Source organism: Homo sapiens, chromosome 17 (assembly GCF_000001405.40).
Source record: "Homo sapiens chromosome 17, GRCh38.p14 Primary Assembly".
Taxonomy (NCBI): domain Eukaryota; kingdom Metazoa; phylum Chordata; class Mammalia; order Primates; family Hominidae; genus Homo; species Homo sapiens.
The window spans coordinates 73,297,024-73,319,584 of NC_000017.11; the positions used below are offsets into that span (position 1 = coordinate 73,297,024).

General features: G+C 51.9%; 1 protein-coding gene across 2 annotated transcripts in view, besides 5 other annotated features; it reads right to left on the reverse strand.

Moving 5' to 3' along the window:
* The window catches only part of CDC42EP4 (CDC42 effector protein 4), a 28,378-nt gene extending 13,400 nt beyond the window's left edge, over positions 1-14,978 (reverse strand). Inside the window, exon 1 of one of the 2 annotated variants that reach the window (NM_012121.5) lies at positions 14,870-14,978. The gene's annotated coding sequence lies outside the window, so the exon portion shown is untranslated. Of the gene's footprint in view, positions 1-13,857 lie in introns of both variants that reach the window. The other variant, XM_005257182.3, reaches the window with a different exon arrangement.
* Positions 13,727-13,856: a silencer, noted in NCBI's record as "silent region_8922". NCBI's record gives its function as "represses an Ori minimal core promoter by ATAC-STARR-seq in GM12878 lymphoblastoid cells {active_cell/tissue: GM12878}" and the evidence as "EXISTENCE:reporter gene assay evidence [ECO:0000049][PMID:35858748]".
* Positions 13,867-14,416: a silencer, noted in NCBI's record as "silent region_8923". NCBI's record gives its function as "represses an Ori minimal core promoter by ATAC-STARR-seq in GM12878 lymphoblastoid cells {active_cell/tissue: GM12878}" and the evidence as "EXISTENCE:reporter gene assay evidence [ECO:0000049][PMID:35858748]".
* Positions 14,867-15,126: a silencer, noted in NCBI's record as "silent region_8924". NCBI's record gives its function as "represses an Ori minimal core promoter by ATAC-STARR-seq in GM12878 lymphoblastoid cells {active_cell/tissue: GM12878}" and the evidence as "EXISTENCE:reporter gene assay evidence [ECO:0000049][PMID:35858748]".
* Positions 15,197-15,356: a silencer, noted in NCBI's record as "silent region_8925". NCBI's record gives its function as "represses an Ori minimal core promoter by ATAC-STARR-seq in GM12878 lymphoblastoid cells {active_cell/tissue: GM12878}" and the evidence as "EXISTENCE:reporter gene assay evidence [ECO:0000049][PMID:35858748]".
* Positions 20,924-21,676: an enhancer, noted in NCBI's record as "H3K4me1 hESC enhancer chr17:71314086-71314838 (GRCh37/hg19 assembly coordinates)". NCBI's record gives its function as "activates a minimal SCP1, AML or CMV promoter by ChIP-STARR-seq in naive H9 embryonic stem cells {active_cell/tissue: H9 hESC(naive)}" and the evidence as "EXISTENCE:reporter gene assay evidence [ECO:0000049][PMID:30033119]".

The following is a 22,561-nucleotide window of genomic DNA, read 5'->3' on the forward strand; positions in this document are numbered from 1 at the left end:
TGGCTCACACCTGTAATCCCAGCACTTTGGGAGGCCGAGGTGGGCAGATCACCCGAGGTCAGGAGTTCAAGACCAGCCTGGCCAACATGGTGAAACCCCATCTCTACTAAAAATACAAAAATTAGCCAGGTGTGGTGGCAGGCGCCTGTAATCCCAGCTACTTGGGAGGCGGAGGCAGGAGAATCACTTGAACCCGGGAGGCGGAGGTTGCTGTGAGCCAAGGTCGCGCCATTGCACTCCAGCCTGGGGGACAAGAGCAAGACTTCGTCTCCAAAAAAAAAAAAAAACACACACACACAAATTAGCCAGGTGTTGTGGCGCGTGCCTGTAATCCCAGCTACACGGGAGGCTGAGGCAGGAGAATCTCTTGAACCCGGGAGGCGGAGGTTGCAGTGAGCTGAGATCACGCCATTGCACTCCAGCTTGGGCAATAGAGTGAGACTCTGTCTCAAAAAAAATAAATAAAAATTTAAAATAAATAGAAAAACAGGCAGAACATATACTTGTTTATGTATAGTGGTTACAACTCTACACAAATATGCATCTGTGAATAAAGACTAAAAGGGCACATGGAGAAATTAAGAAGTTATGTTAGCCTTGAGAGGAAAACAGCCTCTTTTTCTTTTTGTTTATTTATTTATTTATTTATTTTTGAGATGGAGTTTTGCTCTATCGCCCAGGCTGGAGTGTAGTGGCACCATCTCAGCTCACTGCAACCTCCAACTCCTAGGTTCAAGCAATTCTCCTGCCTCAGCCTCCCAAGTAGCTGGGATTACAGGTGCACACCATGACGGCCAGTTAATTTTTATATTTTCAGTAAAGACGGGGTTTCCCCATGTTGACCAGGCTGGTCTTGAACTCCTGACCTCAAGCAATCCACCCGCCTCAGCCTCCCAAAGTGCTGGGATTACAGGTGTGAGCCACCGCACCTGGCCTTTTTCTTTTTAAAACAAACAAACAAACAACAACAGCGAAAAAAAAAAAAAAACCCAAAGTATCAAAGGCTTAAAGAAAAAGCATTCATTTCAAAACCAGCTTAAGACTATCTAGTTCTCTGGGTTCGGCAGCCACATCCCAGCATAAGATGCCAACTGAGGACTGAGTGAGAACTGGTCTCCATCCGTACTCTGCCTCTCTTGCGTGAAAATCTCCCACTGATGTCTGTTCTCTCTCTTCCTCCCTCAAAATCACCCCCAAGCCAGACACGTTTATTAGGTCCTTGTTTTATTCTAAGTTGCCTGGGCGGAGGAAGTGGGCAAGCTTTATTAACCTGACATCAGGGGGCACAGGGAGATCGGGACCCTCTCAAAAAACAGAACTCGCTCTCCAACAGCTGCTTCCTGATGCTTAAGCCTCCCCAGCTGAGCAGGAGATGAGCGATAAGGATCACTCCCACCCTACCGGAGATCGGCCTATTTCCAGTGACACTGAAGCTCCAAGCTGGAGGCCAGCCTCCCACATAACAGTGGGATCCTCTCAGAGAGATCCTGTGCAGGTGAAGGTTTTACTTCTATAGCTCTAGCTTGGCTAGACTGTCACTACAAGGGAGCAGAGAAAACAAGAAGGGGTCACATGAGGGCAACCAGCACCCAGGTGCTCCAGCCACCACTGACCGCCAAGCTGTGTGCAGAATTAGATCATCCCTGGGGGTAGATCTCTAATGGGGAAGGCACTAAAGTGAGTCTTAGCTCAAGAGTCAGAGAAACAGGCTCCCTAATCCCCTCCTACCCCATCCCTCCAGTACACCTCCTCATTCAACAGTTCTCATTCACTGGGCTCCGCTGCGTGCCAAGCACTGTACTGAGGACAACATACATTTATGCCCTTGAAACTCAAAGCAAACTCGCAAGGAGGCTGCCCTGATTGCCCCTATTTTAAAGAACGAGAAACGGAGACTCAGACAGAGTGAATTATTTTACTCACTCTCACATCTCACAGCTTTTTTTTTTTTTGAGACACGGCATTGCTGTCACCCAGGCTGGAGTGTAGTGGTGCTATCATGGCTCACTGCAGCCTCAACTTCCCGGGCTGAAGTGATCCTCCCCGGCCTCAGTCTCCCAAGTAGCTGGGGCCACAGGTGGGCACCACCATGCCTGGTTTATTAAAAATAAATACATAGGCTGGGTGCAGTGGCTCACGCCTGTAATCCCAGCACTTTGGGAGGCTGAGGCGGGCAGATCACGAGGTCAGGAGATCGAGGCCATCCTGGCTAACACGGTGAAACCCTGTCTCTACTAAAAATATTTAAAAAAAAAAATTAGCCAGGCGTGGTGGTGGGCGCCTGTAGTCCCAGCTACTCGGGAGGTTGAGGCAGGAAAATGGCGTGAACCCGGGAGGCGGAGCTTGCAGTGAGCCGAGATCATGCCACTGCACTCCAGCCTGGGTGACAGAGCGAGACTCCGTCCTAAAAAAAAAAAAAATACACACACACACACACACACACACACACACACACATTTTTAGTAGAGATGGCATCTCGCTTTGTTGCCCAGGCTGCTCTTGAACTCCTAGCTTCAAGCAATCTTCCTGCTTCAGCCTCCCAAAGTGTGGGATTACAAGCACGAACCGTTGCACCCCACACCCAGCCTCTCACAACTTCTAAGTGGTTATTTGAGCCCATTTCTGGCAGACCTTGGAGCATGTGATTTTCCATATGAGGTGATGCTGCCTGACCTGTGCAGGTGTCTGCAGCTGAGGATGTACATGTGGAGCAGGGTGGGGTAGGAAGGGTCTGGGAGCCGGTTAACCTAAGACTCTTGGAGCTAAGACTCACATTACTGCCTCCCCCATTAAAGCTCTATCCCCAGGCATGGCTGCATTTGAAACCTCCTGAAAGGAGATTTCTCTTACCCAGGAGCCCATTCCCACTTCCTGCTCTCAGGAACCTCCCAATGTTCTGGTGTTCTGGGAGGTGAGGGATGGGAAGGATCACCCTGAAGCACAAGCCAGGACTCTGCCGGCATAGTCAGGAGTAGATCAGCACAAGGCCTCACTTCTAGTGTGTTCCTGTCTGCTCTGTCCAAACTCCATCTTGTGTTCCTTGGTTATTCCAGCTCCCAGGAAGAAAAACCAGAACCGTGACCCAACACCACTTGCCCCACCCTCACTGCCCGCGTGCCAATCCATGCCAGGATCATTGATGCAAAGGTGCCACTGCACAGCCACCCTGGGGCAGATCCCATTTCCTGGAGATGAACATCCTCTACTTTGATGGCCCCTTCCTGAAGAAAGGGCAAGGTCCCAGATTTCATGCCATGTCTTCCCCCCACCACCCCCAGCCTCCAAGCTACAAGACAGTGCCCATTCCCCAGGTATCCCTACCGGGTGTGGGTCAGGGAGGGAGGAGTCTACTGGGAAGGGGGGTGAATCAGGGAGAGCAGGGATCATAGAGTGACCTGGACAAGGAGGAAAGCAATAGTGCACACCAGAACCTCCCAGCTACTTCCACTTTATGCCTTCTCTCTATGAGTTAATAATAATTGACCCTCCACTGTCCACCAGCCACTTCTGGCTTCTGAGCACTTGACATGTGGCCAGCATGGAATAATAAACACTGGAGACTGGGAGGGTGGGAACCCAGTGAGGGATGAGAAGTTACTTAATGGGTACAATGTACACGATTGGGTGATGGTTACACTACAAGCCCAGACTTCACACTACACAATATACCCATGTAACAAAACTATACTTGCACTCCTTATATTTATACACATAAAAATAAACACACAAAAATAAAAAATAGGCAGGGCGCGGTGGCTCACCCCTGTAATCCCAGCACTCTGGGAGGCTGAGTCAGGCAGATCACCTGAGGTCAGGTGTTCGAAACCAGACCGGCCAGCATGGTGAAACCCCATCTCTATTAAAATACAAAATCAGCCAGGCATGGTGGCGTGCGCCTGTAATCCCAGCTACTTGGGAGGCTGAGGCAGGAAGTATTGCTTCAACCCGGGAGGCAGAGTTTGCGGTGAGCAGAGATCACGCCATTGCACTCCAGCCTGGGCAAAAAAGAGTGAAACTCCGTCTCAAAAAAATTAAAAAAAAAAAAAAAAATCTGGCAAGTCCAAATGGATATGTGCACAAGTGGAAAATACACACTGGACTTCTAAGATTTAGTATAAAAAAAGAGGATGTATAAAATATCTCATTAATATTTTAGACTGATGTGTTAAAATGATATTCTGAATATAGTGAGTCAAAATGTACCATTTCCTCTTACTTGTTAAAATGTAACTATTAAAATATAAATTATGTATGGCACTTGCCTAAGACTTCTATTGGAGAGCAATAATTTAGACATTTTCCCCCTTATTACACAAGCAGCATGTTCCCTTGTAGATGGATAAATAAAGCCAACCATTGTTCACAGCTGGGTCAAAATATTTACATGTTAACAATTTATGCTACATTGTTTTAAATTAAATCTTAATATCTAATTTTTACATCCAATCAGGGATTGAATGGCTAGGTTGTTTCCATTTTCAGTTGAAACTCTGTAAGGTCCTTTCAGGCAATTATGTGCATAACCTTAACTATTTCCAGATGATACATTCTTGTGAGTCTGTCCCCCAGGCTGGAGTGCAGTGGTGTATCTCAGCTCACTGCAACCTTCCACTCCTGGGTTCAAGCAATTCTTGTGCTTCAGCCTCCCAAGTGGCAGGGGCTACAGGCACACGCCACCATGCCCAGCTTTTTTTTTTTTTTTTTTGAGGCCAAGTCTGTATTGCCGAGACTGGAGTGCAGTGGTATCATCTCAGCTCACTGCAACCTCTGCCTCCAGGGTTCAAGCGATTCTTGTGGCTCAGCGTCCAGGCGTGCGCCACCATGCCCAGCTAATTTTTGCATTTTTAGTAGAGATGGGGTTTCACCATGTTGGCCAGGCTGGTCTTCAACTCTTGACCTTAGGTGATCCACCCACCTCGGCCTCCCAAAGTGCTGGGATTACAGGCGTGAGCCACCATGCCCTGCCTGCCTGGCTAATTTTTGTATTTTTAGTAGAGACAGGGTTTCACTGTGTTGGCCAGGCTGGTCTTGAACTCCTGACCTCAGGTGATCCACCAGCCTTGGCCTCCCAAAGTGCTAGGATTACAGGTGTGAGCTACTGCACCCGGCCAGCAGGCTACCTTTTTTTCCCCCTAACATATTTAATGGCCACCCCACCAAGCTTATACTACCTTACAGGCTCTAAGCAACTATATGATTGAATCTTTTGGGCTTTGGAAGTGGATAAGCTCATCATCTGCAACTAATAATAATTTTGCCTCCTCCATTCCTCATTATCTCGTTATATTTGTTACACTGCCAATATAATGTTGAATAATACCACTGACATGAAACATCTCTCTTTCTGGCACTTACAGTGATATCCTAAACCTCCGGCATCTAATCCAGCAGCCACAAGCCACATAAGGCTACTGAGTACTTAACATGTGGTTAGTGTGATTAAGGAGCTGAATTTTTAATTTTTTTTTTTTGAGACAGGGTCTCACTCTGTTAACCAGGCTCAAGTACAGTGGCACAATTACAGCTCATTGTAGCCTCAACGTCCTAGGCTCAAGCAATCCTTCCACCTCAGTCCCGAGTAGCTGGGACTACAGGTGTGCACCACCATGTTGCCTAGCCAAGTCTTAAAATTCCTAGCCTCAAGTGTAATCTCAAAGTGCTGGGATTACAGATACGAGCCACCACACGTGGCCAGAATTTTAAATTTTAATTATTTTACATTTAAAAATTGACAATTGGCCGGGCGCGGTGGCTCAAGCCTGTAATCCTAGCACTTTGGGAGGCCGAGGCGGGCGGATCACGAGGTCAGGAGTTCGAGACTATCCTGGCCAACATGGTGAAACCCCGTCTCTACTAAAAATACAAAAAAAATTAGCTGGGCATGGTGGCGGGCACCTGTAGTCCCAGCTACTCGGGAGGCTGAGGCAGGAGAATGGCGTGAACCCGGGAGGCAGAGCTTGCAGTGAGCCGAGATGGCGCCACTGCACTCCAGCCTGGGGGACAGCATCAGACTCCGTCTCAAAAAAAAAAAGATAATTGGCCAGGCGCGGTGGCTCACGCCTGTAATCCCAGAACTTTGGGAGGCTGAGGCGGGCGGATCACCTGAGGTTGGGAGTTCGAGACCAGCCTGACCAACATGGAGAAACCCCGTCTCTACTAAAAATACAAAATTAGCTGGGCGTGGTGGCGCATGCCTGTAATCCTAGCTACTCGGAAGGCTGAGGCAGGAGAATGGCTTGAACCCAGAAAGCAGAGGTTGCGGTGAGCCGAGATCGCACCCTTACACTCCAGCCTTGGCAACAAGAGTGAAACTCCATCTCAAAAACAAACAAACAAACAAACAAAAACTGATAATTGGCCGGGCACGGTGGCTCACGCCTGTAATCCCAGCACTTTGGGAGGCCGAGGAGTATGGATCACTTGAAGTCAGGGGTTCAACCCCAGCCTGGCCAACATGGTGAGACCCTGTCTCTACTAAAAATACAAAAATTAGCCTGGCGTGGTGGTGGGTACCTGTAATGCCAGCTACTTGGGAGGCTGAGATAGGAGAATCGCTTGAACCCAGGAGGTGGAGGTTGCAGTGAGATGAGATCATGCCTCTGCACTCCAGCCTGGGCAACAGAGCAAGACTCTGTCTCCAAAAAAAAAAAAAAAAAAATTAATTCCCCCTTCCTTTAGTTTTAAAAACATGGCTCCTAGAAAGCATAAAATTCCATATGTGACTAGCGTCACATTCCTATTGACAGCATCATCCTAGGGCTAGTCCCACTGATCATCCTGCTCACTGTGATTTGAATATCACACAAGTATTCTCCACCACCTTAAGGAATGCACAATTCTTACAGTTTATGGGAAAATGATGCCAATAACTCACTCAGCCAGGCTGAGTTATGGGAAAACACACTACGGCTTAAAATAATTTACCCTTTAATTGCTGGAAGATATAGCATAAGGAGTCTAGTCTAGTTTAAATGGTGACTCATTATCAAGAACACTCCGGAATAACATCTCTCCATGTGGATCCCAACAGATAGCAAGACTGTGTGCTGAGGAACCCACTCTAAGGAAATACTATTCTAGACCCTACCTAACCTCAGGGGTAGACCCCTCCCCAGACTCTGCAGTAACTATTCCTGGGCCACATGTCATGGAGAAAATACGAGAAAGAACTAAGATTTGTTGAGCTTTTTACTCTGCACCAGGCATTGTGTTAGGTGATTTATTTTGATTAAACTGTCTCTTTTCTTCTTCTTCTTTTTTTTTTTTTTCCTGAGAGAGGGTCTTGCTTTGTCCCTCAGGCTGGAGTACACTGTAGCAGTGCAATCAAAGCTCACCGTAACCTCAAACTTCTGGGCTCAAGCCATCCTCCTACCTCTGCTTCCCAAAGTGCTGGGACGATAAACTTTGTAGTCATACACGGTCCCAAGCATTTGAAAAACTTTATCTCATGTATTCTTCCCAACAATCCCATGGAGTTATCACTATCATCCCCAGCTCACAGATAAGAGCACCGAGACTTAGAGGGGCACGTGCTCTACTCAAGTCACACACGGTTGGTTAGGAGAGAGAGACAAGAATCCAGATGTGCTGGACTCTGGGTTTTTTCCACTCCACCATAAGGAACATCGGGGTGGGGGGGGCGGGTGGTGCGAGGGGGACAGTGCATCATAAGTGTCCCTGGGGCTCAGGCCTGGGAGGGCTGCTCAAGGCTCTGGATGCATGAGTACACACAGGATACGCAGTTGTGCACACAATTTCAGGTTAACATCTCCTGAGTCTGAGCACCTCATTCCCCACCACTCCAGGGAACTTATAGATTAATCCTGGAAAATACAGGCTACAGCCCAACACCCCAGGTCCATCCAGGGGAGCCTCCTGCTCCTTGTGGGCTGGGAACCAGCTGCCCTGCTTGTCTCCTTCATCTTCGTTCCTGCACCCACCTCATCCTTATCCTCATCCCCATCCCAGAACCACAGGCTTCAGGCCAGGGGAGAAGCAGGTCAGCAGGAGGTGAAGGGGAAACCTTCCCTCACCTCCTGGGAATTAGAACAGCACAGAGAAGGGAAGAAAAAGGAGCCAAGACTAGGGAGTGACCGGAAGCAACAACGGAGGAGTCAAGACGAAGAGGAGCCAGTGACTCAAGGACATCCGGCAACTTCACTTGATTACAGGGCCCTTCCTGGAAATGTGTGCTTCCCGGAGCCACCACCCGAAGCCAGCCACCAGCAGAGGGACCATCTGGGCCAGGCAGGATGGATGCCTGGTGGGGGGCCCCACTGCCCCCATACAGGCTGGGCCCTCCTCCTCTAGGAGTGGTGCTACTACTGGGCAGCAGGGTGCCTCCCTCCTGCTCGGGAGTGATCGCAGAGGAAAGTGCCGCGCTTGAAATCAGATCTGCCAGGCCTTGTTTGGTTTCACTTTGCCGCTCCTAAGAGCCGGGTGCTCAGCTAAGAACTGGGAATTTCATGGCCACCTTGGGGTCTCCAGGAGACTGGCAGATCTAAACTCCCTCCAGAGCAGACAGGCTAATCTTGCATCTTGGCCCTGCCGGAAGTTGGGGACAAAGAGCCCCACTCCCTAGGTCACAAGGTGGCCTGCCACGTGGGTCAAGTTATTTGTGCCTCAGTTTCCTCATTAGCTCTCAGAACAATTGATAACATTACATAACTCCCAAGTGCTGTGCTCGGGTGAGCACAGTTCCATGTGTGCTATAAAGATGATGCTGTCACACCCAGTGACACTCCAGCCACTGTCACTTCGCAAACTTCATAGAGAACAGCCACCTGAGAGCACCTAATTCAAAAGTCTGTACAGTGAAACGTGGGCTGAGACAATGGGTTGACCCTTTTCAAAGTCCTGGGGGTTCCCAGGATTATCTGATGCAGGGGGAAGGGTCCCCCAAGCTGCTGAAGCCCAGGTACAGATTCTGCCCTCCCTCTGTAGTCTCTGCCAGCAGTCGGGGGCAGGAAACCCTCGGATCTGGTTTCTTTCCTGATCTGAGTTCCCTCATCCCGTCACCTTTTAACCTTTAATGATGCCAGAAGAAGGAGCCTGGCTTCTCTCAGACAAGATGGTGAGGTGGAGGTGGGAAAAGAGAAGCTCCTCCATTCCTTCCTAGGATAAGGGTAAAAGTAACTCAGGAATTTGCCAGACCCCGGGTGCTACTAGCAACAAATAATGCACAGGCCAGGCACCGTGGCTCATGCCTGAAATCTCAGCACATTGGGAGGCAGAGGCAGAAGCAGGAGGATCGCTTGAGCCCAGGAGCTTGAGACCAGCCTGGGCAGCACAGTGAGACCCTGTCTCTAAAAAAAAAAAAAAAAATTAAATTAGCCAGGCATGGCGGCACACGTCTATAGTCTCAGCTACTCAAGGCTGAGGTGGGAGGATCTCTTGAGCCCAGGAGTTTGAGGCTGCAGTGAGCTGTGATTGCACCACTGCACTCCAGCCTGGCCAACACAGCAAAAAGCCTGTCTCAAAACAAAAAAATAATGCACAAAACTTCAATATGATCAACCCCCAATAAAATATAATCTGATCTTTTGGACCTAACCAGATTCTCCTTAGAGGTAACCACAAATCGTACTGCGAGCCCCTAGGCTCTTTTTGGGCTCTCTTGGGCTCTCTACTCCTTGTACCACTTGACAAAGCCTTAAGCCCAATTCCAGGACTTGAGGGGAACAGGTCCCTTTCTGATGCTTCAGGGTTGGAGGCAACAGTGTAAGGAAATAAGAAGGTTGCACTGAGTGAAGACCCGAGGTAGAGAGGAAGGACAGGCAGGAAAGAGAAGCCAGCACACAGAACCTGGCTTTGTTGGCACACTTGGAGAGATTCAAAGCTGGGGTCTCCAGACCAAGTTCAGTGACTGCCAGAACTGCAGGTGTCTGGGCAAAAGAAGAACCCAGAGTCTCATGCTGGGAGGTGGAGGCTGCCCCAGACAACCTCTGCTACCGTGATGGCCAAGGCAGAAGATGGTGGCTGAAGCAGCTCTGGCTGAGCACAGACATCCAGGGATCCTTCTTGCCTGGCACTGTGGTTTTTCCAGATGCCTTCAGCTCCATCTTTGGGGTGAAGGGGAAACACCAGGTGTGCAGAGCAGTTTCTTACAGGTGGGGAACTGTAAGCCTTCATTAATGACCACACCCTAAACTGTGCTCACCTGAATCCCAAAAGAGAGACCCTTCCTCAGCTTGAGTGGAGACAGCCAGTTCCCCTGTTCCTGGCAAGGGAGGGCTTTGGATGCCAGCACTGCCATCCTGGCACAGAGCCCAGAGCTGCAAGCTGGCAGTGCCTGGGGGAGACTCCAATGTAAGTTAGTTGGAAGGAAGCCCAAGTCTCCTCAAGAAGGCGTATTTTAAGCTGGAGCTTTCGGGGCACGGTGAGCGGGAATGTGGGAGACTAATGTCTGAATTTTTCTTTCTTTCTTTTTTTTTTTTTTTTTTTAGACGGAGTCTCGCTCTGTCACCCAGGCTAGAATGCAGTGGCGCGATCTCGGCTCACTGCAAGCTCCGCCTCCCGGGTTCACACCATTCTCCTGCCTCAGCCTCCCAAGTAGCTGGGACTACAGGCGCCCACCACCAAGCCTAGCTAATTTTTTGTACTTTTTAGTAGAGACAGGGTTTCACTGTGTTAGTCAGGATGGTCTCGATCTCCTGACCTCCTGATCCACCCGCCTTGGCCTCCCAAAGTGCTGGGATTACAGGTGTGAGCCACCACGCCTGGCCCTGAATTTCTCTCTTTTTTTTTTTTTTTTTTTTGAGATGGAGTCTCACTCTATCGCCCATGCTGGAGTACAGCAACCTCCACCTCTTGGGTTCAAGCGATTCTTGTGTCTCAGCTTCCCCAGTAGCTGGGATTATAGGTGCACGCCACCATGCCCGGCTAATTTTTGTATTTTTAGTAGAGACGGGGTTTCACCATATTGGCCAGGCTGATCTCAAACTCCTGACCTCAAGTGATCTGCCCGCCTTGGCCTCCCCAAGTGCTGAGATTACAGGCGTGAGCCACTGTGCCCGGCCCTAATGTCTGAATTTCCTTCCCAACGCACTCAAGCAAAAAGGGCTGTGTCCAGTGCCACATGCGGGCTCCTTCCAGCACTACCATCCAGTTCCCTGCCGAGAGAGGGCACGCATGGGCTTGGCCTTCCTAGAGCACCCCAGAAGCACTGGCTGGAGTTGGCCTTCAGGACACTCTGCCGGATGACCCCTCAAAGTGTCCCCAGCTCCAGAATTTGGTTCTTTTCCTCACGGTCGGGAAAAATCCTCCAGTACGTAGGTCAGAAGAGCTACGCAGAGCTCAGGTCAGCTCTGTTTCCAGGGCGAGATTGCTCAACCCTTCTCCCTCCGCCCACAGGCCTTATCTCTGGCATCAACCCAGCTCCCCATTCCTCCAAGGGACGGACTCCTCCCTCCCCCCACAGGGACAAACTCCTCTGAGTCTGCAGAACCAGAATGAGAACACAGAAGGCTGGACTTACTGCTAACCAAGTGCAACCCTGACCACTCTGACTTCTGACTTCTTCACTTCGAACCCAATCCAAACGTAGGGGCGTGGGGTGGGGGAGAGTGAAAGGGAGAGGCCAACATCAAACACCTTTTGGCCACACCTGCGCACAGACAGTCCGGGCCGCAGAAATCAATCAGTCACTCCAAAGGGGTGGAAGCCCTGGGCCACTGCCAACCCAAGGCCCTTCTGGAAAAGCTCTGGACTTGTTAAGAAGGGTTGGCCAGGGCTGGGTGCAGTGGTTTACGCCTGTAATCCCGGCTCTTGGGGAGGCCGAGGTGGGTGGATTGCCTGAGTTCAGGAGTTCGCGACCGGCCTGGGCAACACAGTGAAACCCTGTTTCTACTAAAATACAAAAAAAAATTAGCCGGGCGTGGTGGCATGCACCTATAATCCCAGCTACTGCAGAGGCTGAGGCAGGAGAATTGCTTGAACCCGGGAGGTGGAGGATGCAGTGAGCCAAGATTGTGCCACTGCACTCCAGCCTGGGCAACAGAGCAAAGCTCTGTCTCCAAAAAAAAAAAAAAAAAAAAGGGTTGGCCAGGTGCAGTGGCTCATACCTGTATGCCCAGCACTTTGAGAGGCCGAGGTGGGGGAAGATCCCTTGAGCTCAGGAGTTCAAGACCAGCCTGGGCAACATGGTGAAACCCCACCTCTACAAAAAATACAAAAAATGGCTGGGCGTGGTGGTGGGCGCCAGTAGTCCCAGCTACTCAGGAGGCTGAAGTGGGAGGATAGCTTGAGCCCAGGAGGTCCAGCCTGCAGTGAGCCTTGACTATGACGCTGCACCACAACCTGGGTGACAGAGCAAGACCTGGTCTCAAAAAATTAATAAATAAAATAAAAATTATTTTTAAAATCAAAAGACTGGTGTAAGATTCCTCTCCCAGGTCAACACTCACTCCCCTGACCTTTATACATGAGACCTCCCTTTGCTTCTGACTCCTTGGTCTCTGGTTCTGTGAGGTGCTGTCGGGTTCCAGAGGCAGCAGCACAGTGGAGGCAGGGTACAGAGGATGGGGACAAGCACGGTGGGTGGGCAAGGGAAAGAGAGAAACGAGGGGAAAAGAGAAGAGGAATCCAAAAAGAGAGAGGCAGAAACCCCAGAAAATGGAGAATCATTCACAGCACAGGCCTAGGCTGTACAGCAGAGCAGGAGCAAGCTGCCCTCTGTGTGCAGGGACCCTAGGACTTCAGGGAGATTTCAGAGGGGAGGCGCTGAGACTCACCCCAGAACCACCGCCCATATGATCACAGCGGGCCCCTCCTAGTCCCTGCAGGGGTCCACCAGGATGCCTGGGAATCCACTTGGGATCTCCCCAAATTCACTGAACACCCCTTGTGGGAAGGAGCAGCTGTCTTCAAGGAGTGGAGAGGCAAAGTCCAAGTTCAGAGGAGATAAGCCACCCCACTAATCAGTCAGTCACATGTGCAGCTCACACAGGGCAGTTGATGAGAGCAGGAACCGGCAGGGCACCCCCGCATTCAGTAGGCACTGGCTTCTCAGCAGAGATAGAGCCTCAGGAGATCCTGGTGGATGCCCTGTTATTGCCCCAGGAGCCCCTGGGGCTGCCAGGGGCTCTCTTAGGGCCTGGCTCAGTCCCAGCCAACTCCCGATTTCTGGGAGAAATCAGAAATCCGCAGCTCAGCAATCCCTTCCTTTGTGGCCTGTTCTTTGTTCTCTTAAAATTCAGTCCACCCTGCTGGTGGTCCCTCCTCCACCCTAGCCTCAGAAGCGGGCGGGGGCTGAGGGAGTTATTGGAAACCCAGACTGCCAAAGAAGTCGCCTTGCAGGAGGCCCCTGTCACCGGCCCCTCATTATTTACACTCGCTGGATGGGACATTTCTCTGGTACAGATGGCTGCTGGGGTTCGGACGAGAGAGAGATTTTCCCTCCAGCACCCTGGACCCTCAGGGGAGGGCAGGGGGCTTCGCAGCGACGGGGGCTCCCAAGGACTCCACCCGGATCCAGCTGCTCAGCTATCTGGGCAAACAGTGGGCACCGGGCACACAGTAAGGGATGTGGGAGCCGGTCAGATTGCAAGGGGTGGGAGTCGTGGAGAGAGAGAAGTTCCAGAGGCAACGAGAAAAGAAAAGGCATTGTATTTCCCCTCCATTCTCCCAGGGAGAAAAAGAAAACTTCCAAAGCCGAGGCCGCAGTCACTGGGAAAACACAGGGAACCTGGTTTGAGTTAGCAGCGAGCACCCCTCCCCCAGTCACACACACACACACACACACACACACACACACACACACACACACACACACGCACTTCAGTCCTCTCCCAGGAAGCTGGCTCAGCCTCAGCCCCGGCTCCCGCCCAGCTCTCCAGCCCTCCCGGCCGGGGCACTCACCGGCTGACGGGATCCCCGCGGGCAGGATGGCTCCTGGGGGACGCGCCGGGGGCAGGGGGCAGTTTTGTAACCCCGGCTGGGGGCGCTCCGGAGAGGGGGCGGGGCCAGGGACGGCCGATCCGCGCGCACCCGCCCCAAGCGGGCGATTAAATCATTAACCGACCGCTCCCGCCTGCGATCCCGCTGAGCGCGCTGAGCTCGGGGCGCACTAGCCCAGGAGCGGCCGTCTCCCCGGCTCCAAGGGGGCGGGTGGCTCGACTGCCCTCCCCCCGCACCCCGCCAGGAGGCGCCTCGGCCTCCCGGGCTTCCGAGGGAGCGGGCGGGGCGGGAGCCTGGCGGGGGAGGGAAGGGTTCGCGGGGCGGGAGTAGGGGAAAGGAGGACCATTTGTTCCTTCGGCCATTCCCTTCCAGACAGCTCCTTCCCTCTGGCTTCCCGGCCGGGTGACATTGGGTGGCGTGTGCTGCAGTGTGTGTACGAGAGCGAGATGTGTACACGCCTCTGCCCGTACAGGCGGAGAATTCGGTTCTTATTCATGGAGAACTCCGGGCGCACACACGCCCCCCTCGCGGAGATCGCGGGCCGCGCGCCGCCGATTGCTGCGCTCCTGCCCACACCGACACACACCCCATTCCTGGGAAGGGGGAGGCCCTTTAAAACCGGCCCCCAACCCCCTCAGCGGCACCCTTGGCCAGGGCCGGGAGTTCCAGCGTGGAGAGAGGAAATGGAGTCCCGGCAACGCTGCGCCCGGCTCCCTGCCACCTCCTCCTCCACACATCCCGCTCTGCCAGGACACTAGGTGCGCAGCTTAGGGTCCCAGGCACCGCGGTGGGCGCGGTGAAAAGCGCGAGCGCCGAGAAGTGGGGGCTCCGCGCCCTTCTCCCCGCGCCGCGGCCTCGCATCCCCAGCTTCGATCCTCTCTGCCCCACAGGGGGACTCGAGACCCCCAAGCCCACCCAGGGCACCCAGCGCGAAGGCGGCTACCACAGACAGAGGCGGTTGCCCGTCGCCTACCTCGGTCCCCGGAGACCCGAGCTCTGGGCCGGCTGCGCTGTCCCCTTCGTGGGCTCCGCGCGGCGGAGGGGCTGGCGGCCCCTGTCAGCGCCGGCGTTTGTTTCCCTCTGGCTCTCGGGCTTTCAGGGCTGGGAGCCTCCAGGACACTCCCCTTCCAGGCTCCGCCCGCGCCCGCCCCGCGCAACCCTCCCCGCGCACCCCTCTGCGCTGATGTCACGGCGCCGCAGCAGCCAATGGCCGTCGGGAACCTCTGCCCGACTGCTCGGCCTCCTCGGTTCAAACTGAAAGCCTGAGACTTTCCCAACTCCGTATGGGGCAGCCTGGGCCCGCCCGGCTTCCGGGAGACACTCCCGCCCCAGCCTGCGCTCCGGCCGCGAACCCCCACTGGGGCCCCCAGGGCCAGGGGCGCGTCTCCCTCCGGGGGCCTGGCGCGAGGCTCTTTTGAGGCTCTTCCCCATTCGAGCCGGGGCAAGAAACCAAGAACTCCAGCCCGGGTGGCGTTCCTCGTTCCTGCTCCCTCCCGGACCTGCTAACCACCTGGCTGCAGTACTGTCGGGAGATGGGGCAGGAGGGCTGGCGCCACCAGCTTCGTGGGTGCCATCCCAGACTCTCGCTGTAAACGAGGGAGCGGGGAGGAGCCGGCCAGCCCCGAGGCCAGGCTTGGACTGGGCGTCAGAAATGTTTCTACAGGGTGACAGCCCTTGAGCTCCCCGCATCCCCGTCTGTGCCTTTGCCTCCTAAGTATCAGCTGAGGCTAAATTTGCACCAGGTGAACGTCAAGGAGGATCAACTCCTGAGTCCCAGAGCCTGAATCCAAGTCCCAGGCCTTGGACTCTATTCTTTTTAGAGGAATAGTTTCAGTTGAAATGATCATTATCAAGGTAGAATGCCAGCTGCGAAGTAGTCAACTAAAGTGGACAAGGCGCAAAGTGAAAAGTTCCCTTGCCTCTAGCTGAACCCCACCCTCGGTTTTTAAAGGAAGTGAGGGTGAAGGCCCCAGACTTTCCCCATGGCTGCGAGGTCCCTAAGCCCTCAGGAACATTCTGCTTTCTGGGGACAGCACATTTCCGTTTCCCTCTGCAGTGCGACAGCAACCAGCTCTTGAGAGCTAATGGTTTGGCCACTCCATCCTGCTGTGAAAATTAAGTTCTGGGCTGGGCGCAGTGGCTCATGCCTGTAATCCTAGCATTTTGGGAGGCCAAGGCAGGTGGGGGGTCACTTGAGGTCAGAAGTTTGAGACCAGCCTGGCCAACATGGCGAAACCCCATCTCTACCAAAAATACAAAAATTAGTCGGGCATGGTGGTGGGCGCCTGTAATCCCAGCTACCCAGGAGGCTGAGGCGGGACAATCGCTTGAACCTGGGAGGTGGAGGTTGCAGTGAGCCGAGATCGCGCTATTGCACTCTAGCCTGGGTGACAGAGGTAGACTCCATCTCAAAAAAAAAAATAAATGAATAATAAGTAAAATCAAATTCTGAACTGGACATCTGGAGGGAAAGGTAGGGTTTGGAGCCACTTGGGAGGCAGACACTGTGGATTCAAACCCTGGCGGGGTTATCATGGATGTAAACCAAAAAGTGACTAAGGCAGATCTCAATCAAATAGAGGTTTAGTTAGCCAAGGTTGAGGATCCACCGGGGAAAAATCACCTTTTTTCCAAAAAGGTTTTGGGAACTTCTGTATTTAAAAGAGAAAAAGCAAGCAGGAAAGGAAAAGAAGAGGGAGAGAGGGAGGAAAGGCATTGAGGTCACAAGCGTGTGAGGCTCTGATTTAGTGTCTGTAAGTCTACATTTTACATGTGAAAGGGAATAGAAGAAAAAGTCAATGATGCATTGTCTCCTACTCAGTACGTCTAAGGGGAGCAAAGGAAACCCTGTGTCAACAGGGTTGTGAAACTGCAGCTATCTGGGAACAAAAGGAAAGCAGCTTCTGTGGTTTCCAAGCTTAACGTCCCCCCCAGCCCCGCCCCTTTTTTTTTTTTGGAGACAGGGTCTTGCTCTGTTGCCCAGGCTGGAGTGCAGTGCTGCAATCGTAGCTCACTATAGCCTTGGCCTCCTGGGCTCAAGCGATCCTCCCACCTCACCCTCCTGAGTAGCTGAGACTACAGGTGTGCGCCACCATGCCCAGCTACATATTTTGTACTTTTTCTTTTGTAGAGACAGGGTTCTGTCATGTTGCCCAGGCTGGTCTCAAACTCCTGAGCTCAAGCAATCCACCCACCTCAACCTCCAAAAGTGCTGGGATTAAACTTTCCCTTTGACATAGTGAATTTGGGGTCCCGAGATTCTATTCCCTTTCACATGGGGAAGTCGCTAATTCCCACCTCTGACCCTTAGCTAGCCTGGCTGTCCTTATGTGTCCAAAGAGCACAGGACCCCTCTGCTAGCCTCGTCTGGAGGGTGTAAAGAGGAATGAGATATCAGGTGTGAAAGCGCTTTATGACTAGAAAGCAACCAGAATGGAGGTGATTGCTGTCATCATGACCTAGTGCCAAAGGTGTCCTCAAAAGAAGTAGGAGCTGCAACAGGACTGTGGGTAAGGCTCGCTGGATAGAGGTTTGGAGACGCCTCTGGATTGGAATTCTAGCTCTGCCATTTATGAGCTGACAAGTTATCCACCAGCTTCCCCATCTGTAAAGTGAGAACAGCAATCTCTACCTTCCCCTATTGGGGTGAATATTAAAAGAGATCACTTAGGCTGGGCGCGGTGGCTCATGCCTGTAATCCCACTGCTTTGGGAGGCTGAAGCCAGTGGATCGCTTGAGCCCAGGAGTTCAAGAGAAACCTGGCAACCTGGCGAAACCCCATCTCTACAAAAGTATACAAAAATCAGCAAGGTGTGGTGGTGCATGCCTGTAGTCCCAGCTATTTGGGAGGCTGAGATGGGAGAATCCACTTGAGCCTGCAGGTTGAGGCTGCAGTAAGCCAAGATCATGCCACTGCATTCTAGCCTGGGTAACAGAGGGAGACCCTGTCTCAAAAAACAAACAAACAAACAAACAAAGGCACCTGGCCATTTGCTGGGCATATGCAGGCCCTCAGTGGGTCTCCTTCTACCACATTGCTTCCAGGTGGAAGTCCTCCCTGGTTCCTGGCGTTCCAGGACCTCTTTCTCCTGAAATCATAGCTTAAGTTAAAAACAAAAACAAAAAAAAAACGTTTCTTATTTTCTCTGAGACATCTCCCTCTCCCCATCTCTTTCCTTCCATTTTAAATGAAGTATTTCGGTTTTCTTAGGGCTAGCTGTTAGTAATCTGTTTTCCTTTTCCCAATTATCATCCATATCTATTAAGCACACCTCCGGGACAAAGTCTTTAGGTCCCTTTGTAATTCTGCTCCTTACCCAAATTCAGGCTCCTTCCACAAACATTTAACAACAGTGGAGGCTTGCCTTTGGGGACAAAGACAACGAAGCCCAGTCCCTGCCCTCAGGACGCCTAGAGTAGAAACAAACTGCTTCAGGGAGGGGCTCCGTAGATGCTTCTAGACTGCATCCTAGCCCTCTGAGGGAAGATGTGATTAGAAGATCATTTTCTTTGATGGTGGGAATCCCAGACCTGTGGATTTCTCTCCGAAGGATCCACTGAAGCAAGTTTTGCTCCAACCCGTTAGGCTAGAGCTGTCTATGAGTAACCAGAGGAAATTAACAAAATAAAAAATCTGAGGCTTGAATACATACCTACTTGAAATTTCTGGCAAGCTCTAAGCCCCTGACTTTGGAGAGGGATTTGAGGTCTTAACTGCACCCTTGGTGTAACTTGACCTGTAAGCCTTTAGGCCTAGGCGTGTGTCTCTGCCTGTCTGGGGCCGCTGGGGCCTGCCTGCCTCTGGGACTTGGGCATGCATGATCCTTGCAGCTTCATGGACTTGCCCCTCCCTAATATCCACCCCCAACCCCCAACACATATTAGGTAGATGCAAAAGTTATTGCGGTTTTTGCCATTACTTTCAATGGCAAAAACCGCAATTACTTTTTTGCACCAACATACCACATCCCAGTGTTTGTTAACATGGAGTTCTGGGCATTTTAGTTCATGTTATTTTGTCCCAGCTCTAAGAGGTTAATTAGTCCTATTTCCTTTTTTTTTTTTTTTTTTTTTTTTTGAGACGGAGTCTCGCTCTGTTGCCCAGGCTGGAGTGCAGTGGCATGATCTCGGCTCACTGCAAGCTCTGCCTCCCAGGTTCACGCCATTCTCCTGCCTCGGCCTCCTGAGTAGCTGGGACTACAGGCGCCCGCCACCACGCCCGGGTAATTCTTTGTATTTTTAGTAGAGACGGGATTTCACCACGTTAGCCAGGATGGTCTCGATCTCCTGACCTCGTGATTTGCCCGCCTCGGCCTCCCGAAGTGCAAGATCACAGGCGTGAGCCACCGCGCCCGGCCAATTTGTCCTATTTCCTTGGAGGGGCTGGAAGTTCCACTCATTCCAGTCTGGTGTTTGTCCTAAAGTATGACTCTGGGCAGGTCATTTCTCTTCGTGAAATAAGCTATCTCCCCAAGCAAGAACACTACAACTTTCTATGTCTATTCCCCTTTTTTTTTTTTTTTTTTTTTTTTTTTTTTAGGATTCTTGCTCTGACGCCCAGGCTGCAGTGCAGTCCGCAATCTCAGTTCACTGCAGCCTCCGCCTCCTGGGTTCAAGCGATTCTCCTGCCTCAGCCTCCTGAGTAGCTGGGATTATAGGTGCCCACTACCAATTAGCCAATTCCTGGCTAATTTTTTTTTTTTTTTAGTAGAGGCAGGTTTTACCCTGTTGGCCAGGCTGATCTCGAACTCTTGACTTCAAGTGATCTTCCCTCCTCTGCCTCCCAAAGGACTGGGATTATAGGTGTGAGCCACCGTGCCTGGCTTTCAAGTCTATTTTGAGCCCCCCTTCCCCTATTGAGGTGAGACAAGATGGTCCTGGACTGAACCTCAAGGTGCCACCATGGCTTGATGTCAGCACAGTTTGGGTGGAGCCTTGGTGATCCAGGTCAGGAGCCCATCAGCTGGGGTGGCCTGGCGCTGGGCTGTCCACTCCCATGCCTGCAAGAGAGAGGCTCTTTCACGCCTTGCTTCCCCGTTCTTGGGAACCACCTGGAGCCCTTTCATGGGGCTGGGGCAACCTGCTGAGCAGCTGGGAAAATCCTGAAAATACCAAACTACTGGCAGAGTGCCTGGGGCTCCAGACAAGACTCCTCCACCATGGTGGGGAAAAGTACCTGCATCTGGGGGCTCTTTCTGCCCCAGGTTTCAGGGGCATAACCCTGATTTTCTGGGGGAGTTCACGCACATCAGGGGGCTGGGGCAGCCAGTGCATGCCTAGAGAGTAAAGCAATACGATTTCCCCTTGGCCTCCCTGGGGACAGGGTGGTGTTCAGTTCATGTCTGAACCTCCAGCGTGGGTTGGCACACAGTGCATTTGCTAGACAAATGAATGAGCAGAGTTCACAGCCCACATCCCTCCCTTCTTCCATTTGCAACCCCAGCCTCAACTAAGCTCTGTGTGGTCACTTTTTCCCTGAAATGAGCTGTACTGGCCCACAGGGTCACACATCGTCCCAGAACGGCAGCTCCCAAGGGTTCACAGCACAAATTGGCCCAGGAGGTGAGGGAGGCCGCTGTGTGTCAGAGGTCCCCTGGCCCAGAGAGACGCCGTTCACAAGGCTGGGGGTTCTCTGGAGGCAGGAGGTGAAAATAGGATTGAACTAGGCTCAAAGATGGGATGAGGTGTGTGAAGGGGCAGTAGCAGAGCAGAGGGGTCATGAAATTTACAGGAAATGAGTCCAGATGTGGGGCTTAGAACACCTGGGTTGTACTTGTTGTGTGACCTTGGAGGAGTCGTCTTATCGCTTTGAGTCACACCTGTAAGGGGGGCATGGTAATAATTCAGGCCATAGGAGGCTATCAGAAGAATGGAAGGAGATAAGGCGTGTGATCTTGCTTCCTGAAAAGTCTAAAGGAAGGCCCTAGCTACTATTAGGTTGTTACTAAGTTGAGCTTTAGGGTTCTGGGTACTGTGGCTCCCTCCTTCCCTCTGCAGGGAAAAGACAGACAGCCAGGCCTCCCCACACCCCACTCAGGAATCTGTCACTGTGCATTGTCAGGTTATTAACAGGCCACTCCTGACCACTGAGCTGGGACATTTCCAAGAAAGCAGGAGATGATATTAAATTTCTTGTTCATCCAGCAGGGAGAAAAGAGTGGGCAAGAAAGATACAGCAAAAGCTCTGGGCTGCTGAGAAAATTAGCAGAGAAGTCAACTAAAGTCAGTAAAACTTGCAAGCAGGGGCCCTGGGAAGAATGTTTCCTGTGACCCCCGGATTTCTGAAGCCCAGAGCTTCACCCACTGTGACCCGTGGCAAAAATGGGGGAGCCCAACCACGCCTCTGAGCAGAGGATTCCACCTGGTGCTCCAAAGGCCTGAGAGTCCTGGTTAGAAACACGGGCCCTAGGGCCAGATGATACTGGCTTTGAATCTAAATTGTCACTGTGATCTGAGAAGTCCCTTGAGCTCCCCCAGGGCTTGGTCTCATTTGCACAATGGAGACTACAAGAGATCCCACTCATGCTGATGGCGTGGGGTTGGTGGCTAATGCAGGTCAGAACTCATCCCCAAGCTAGGACCACACCAAGGTGTCACTACTTGGATGCTGGCTGGTCTCACAGTTAAAAGGACCTAAGTTTGGGAGGCTGAGGCGCGTGGATCACTTGAGGTCAGGAGTTGGCGGGCGCCTGTAATCTCAGGTACTAGGGAGACTGAGGCAGGAGAATCGCTTGAACCTGGGAGGCGGAAGTTGCAGTGAGACAAGATCACACCACTGCACTCCAGCCTGGGTGACAGAGTGAGACCCTATCTCTGAAAAAATAAATAAATAAAGAAATAGGACCGAAGTTAGACTTTCTGGAGCAAGCTTCATTCTGACATTCATCCTTGCCACAGAATGGGGCCATCCCTGTTAGTGTTTCTGAGAACTGAGCTAACAGAAAACAAAAATTAACAGCATTATCTGCAAGAAGCAGTCCTGGGCTTCTGATAAAGGACTCAGGCTCTGGTGGGCTCACCCAGAGGGGCCCCCCTTATGTCATTGTCTCTGGGGAAGGGTGGGCGGGGACCCAGCTCTGCTGGAGAACAGCCGGTGATAGCCAGAAGCCCTCAGGGTTTCTAGAGGGATGGAAAGAAAAGAGACTAGGTGAAGCAAAGCACTTCTGTTTGCATCCAGAAAAGGCCTCTCCCCTGAGAGCCCGGGTCAGTGGCAAACGGGACTTGAATAAGGATCACTTAGAAAAGGCAGGGCCACTTCTAGAGTACTTTACTTATCGAGTACTTTACTGTATGTAAAGATTTCTGCATCTCAAATCTACAAAGTGGTTGCCATTATGATTCCCATTGCAGATAAAAAACAGAAAAGGCCAGATGCAGTGGCTCACACCTATAATCCCAGCACTTTGGGAGGCCGAGACAAGCAGATCAATTGAGGTCAGGAGTTCGAGACCAGCCTGGCCAACAGTGAACCCCCGTCTCTACTAAAAATACAAAAATTAGCCGGGTGTGGTGGCACATGCCTATAATCCCAGGTACTTGGGAGGTTGAGACAGGAGAATCACTTGAACCCGGGAGGTGGAGGTTGCAGTGAGCCAAGATCGCGCCACTGCACTCCAGCCTGGGCGACAGAGCGAGACTCTATCTCAAAAACAAAAAAACAAACAGA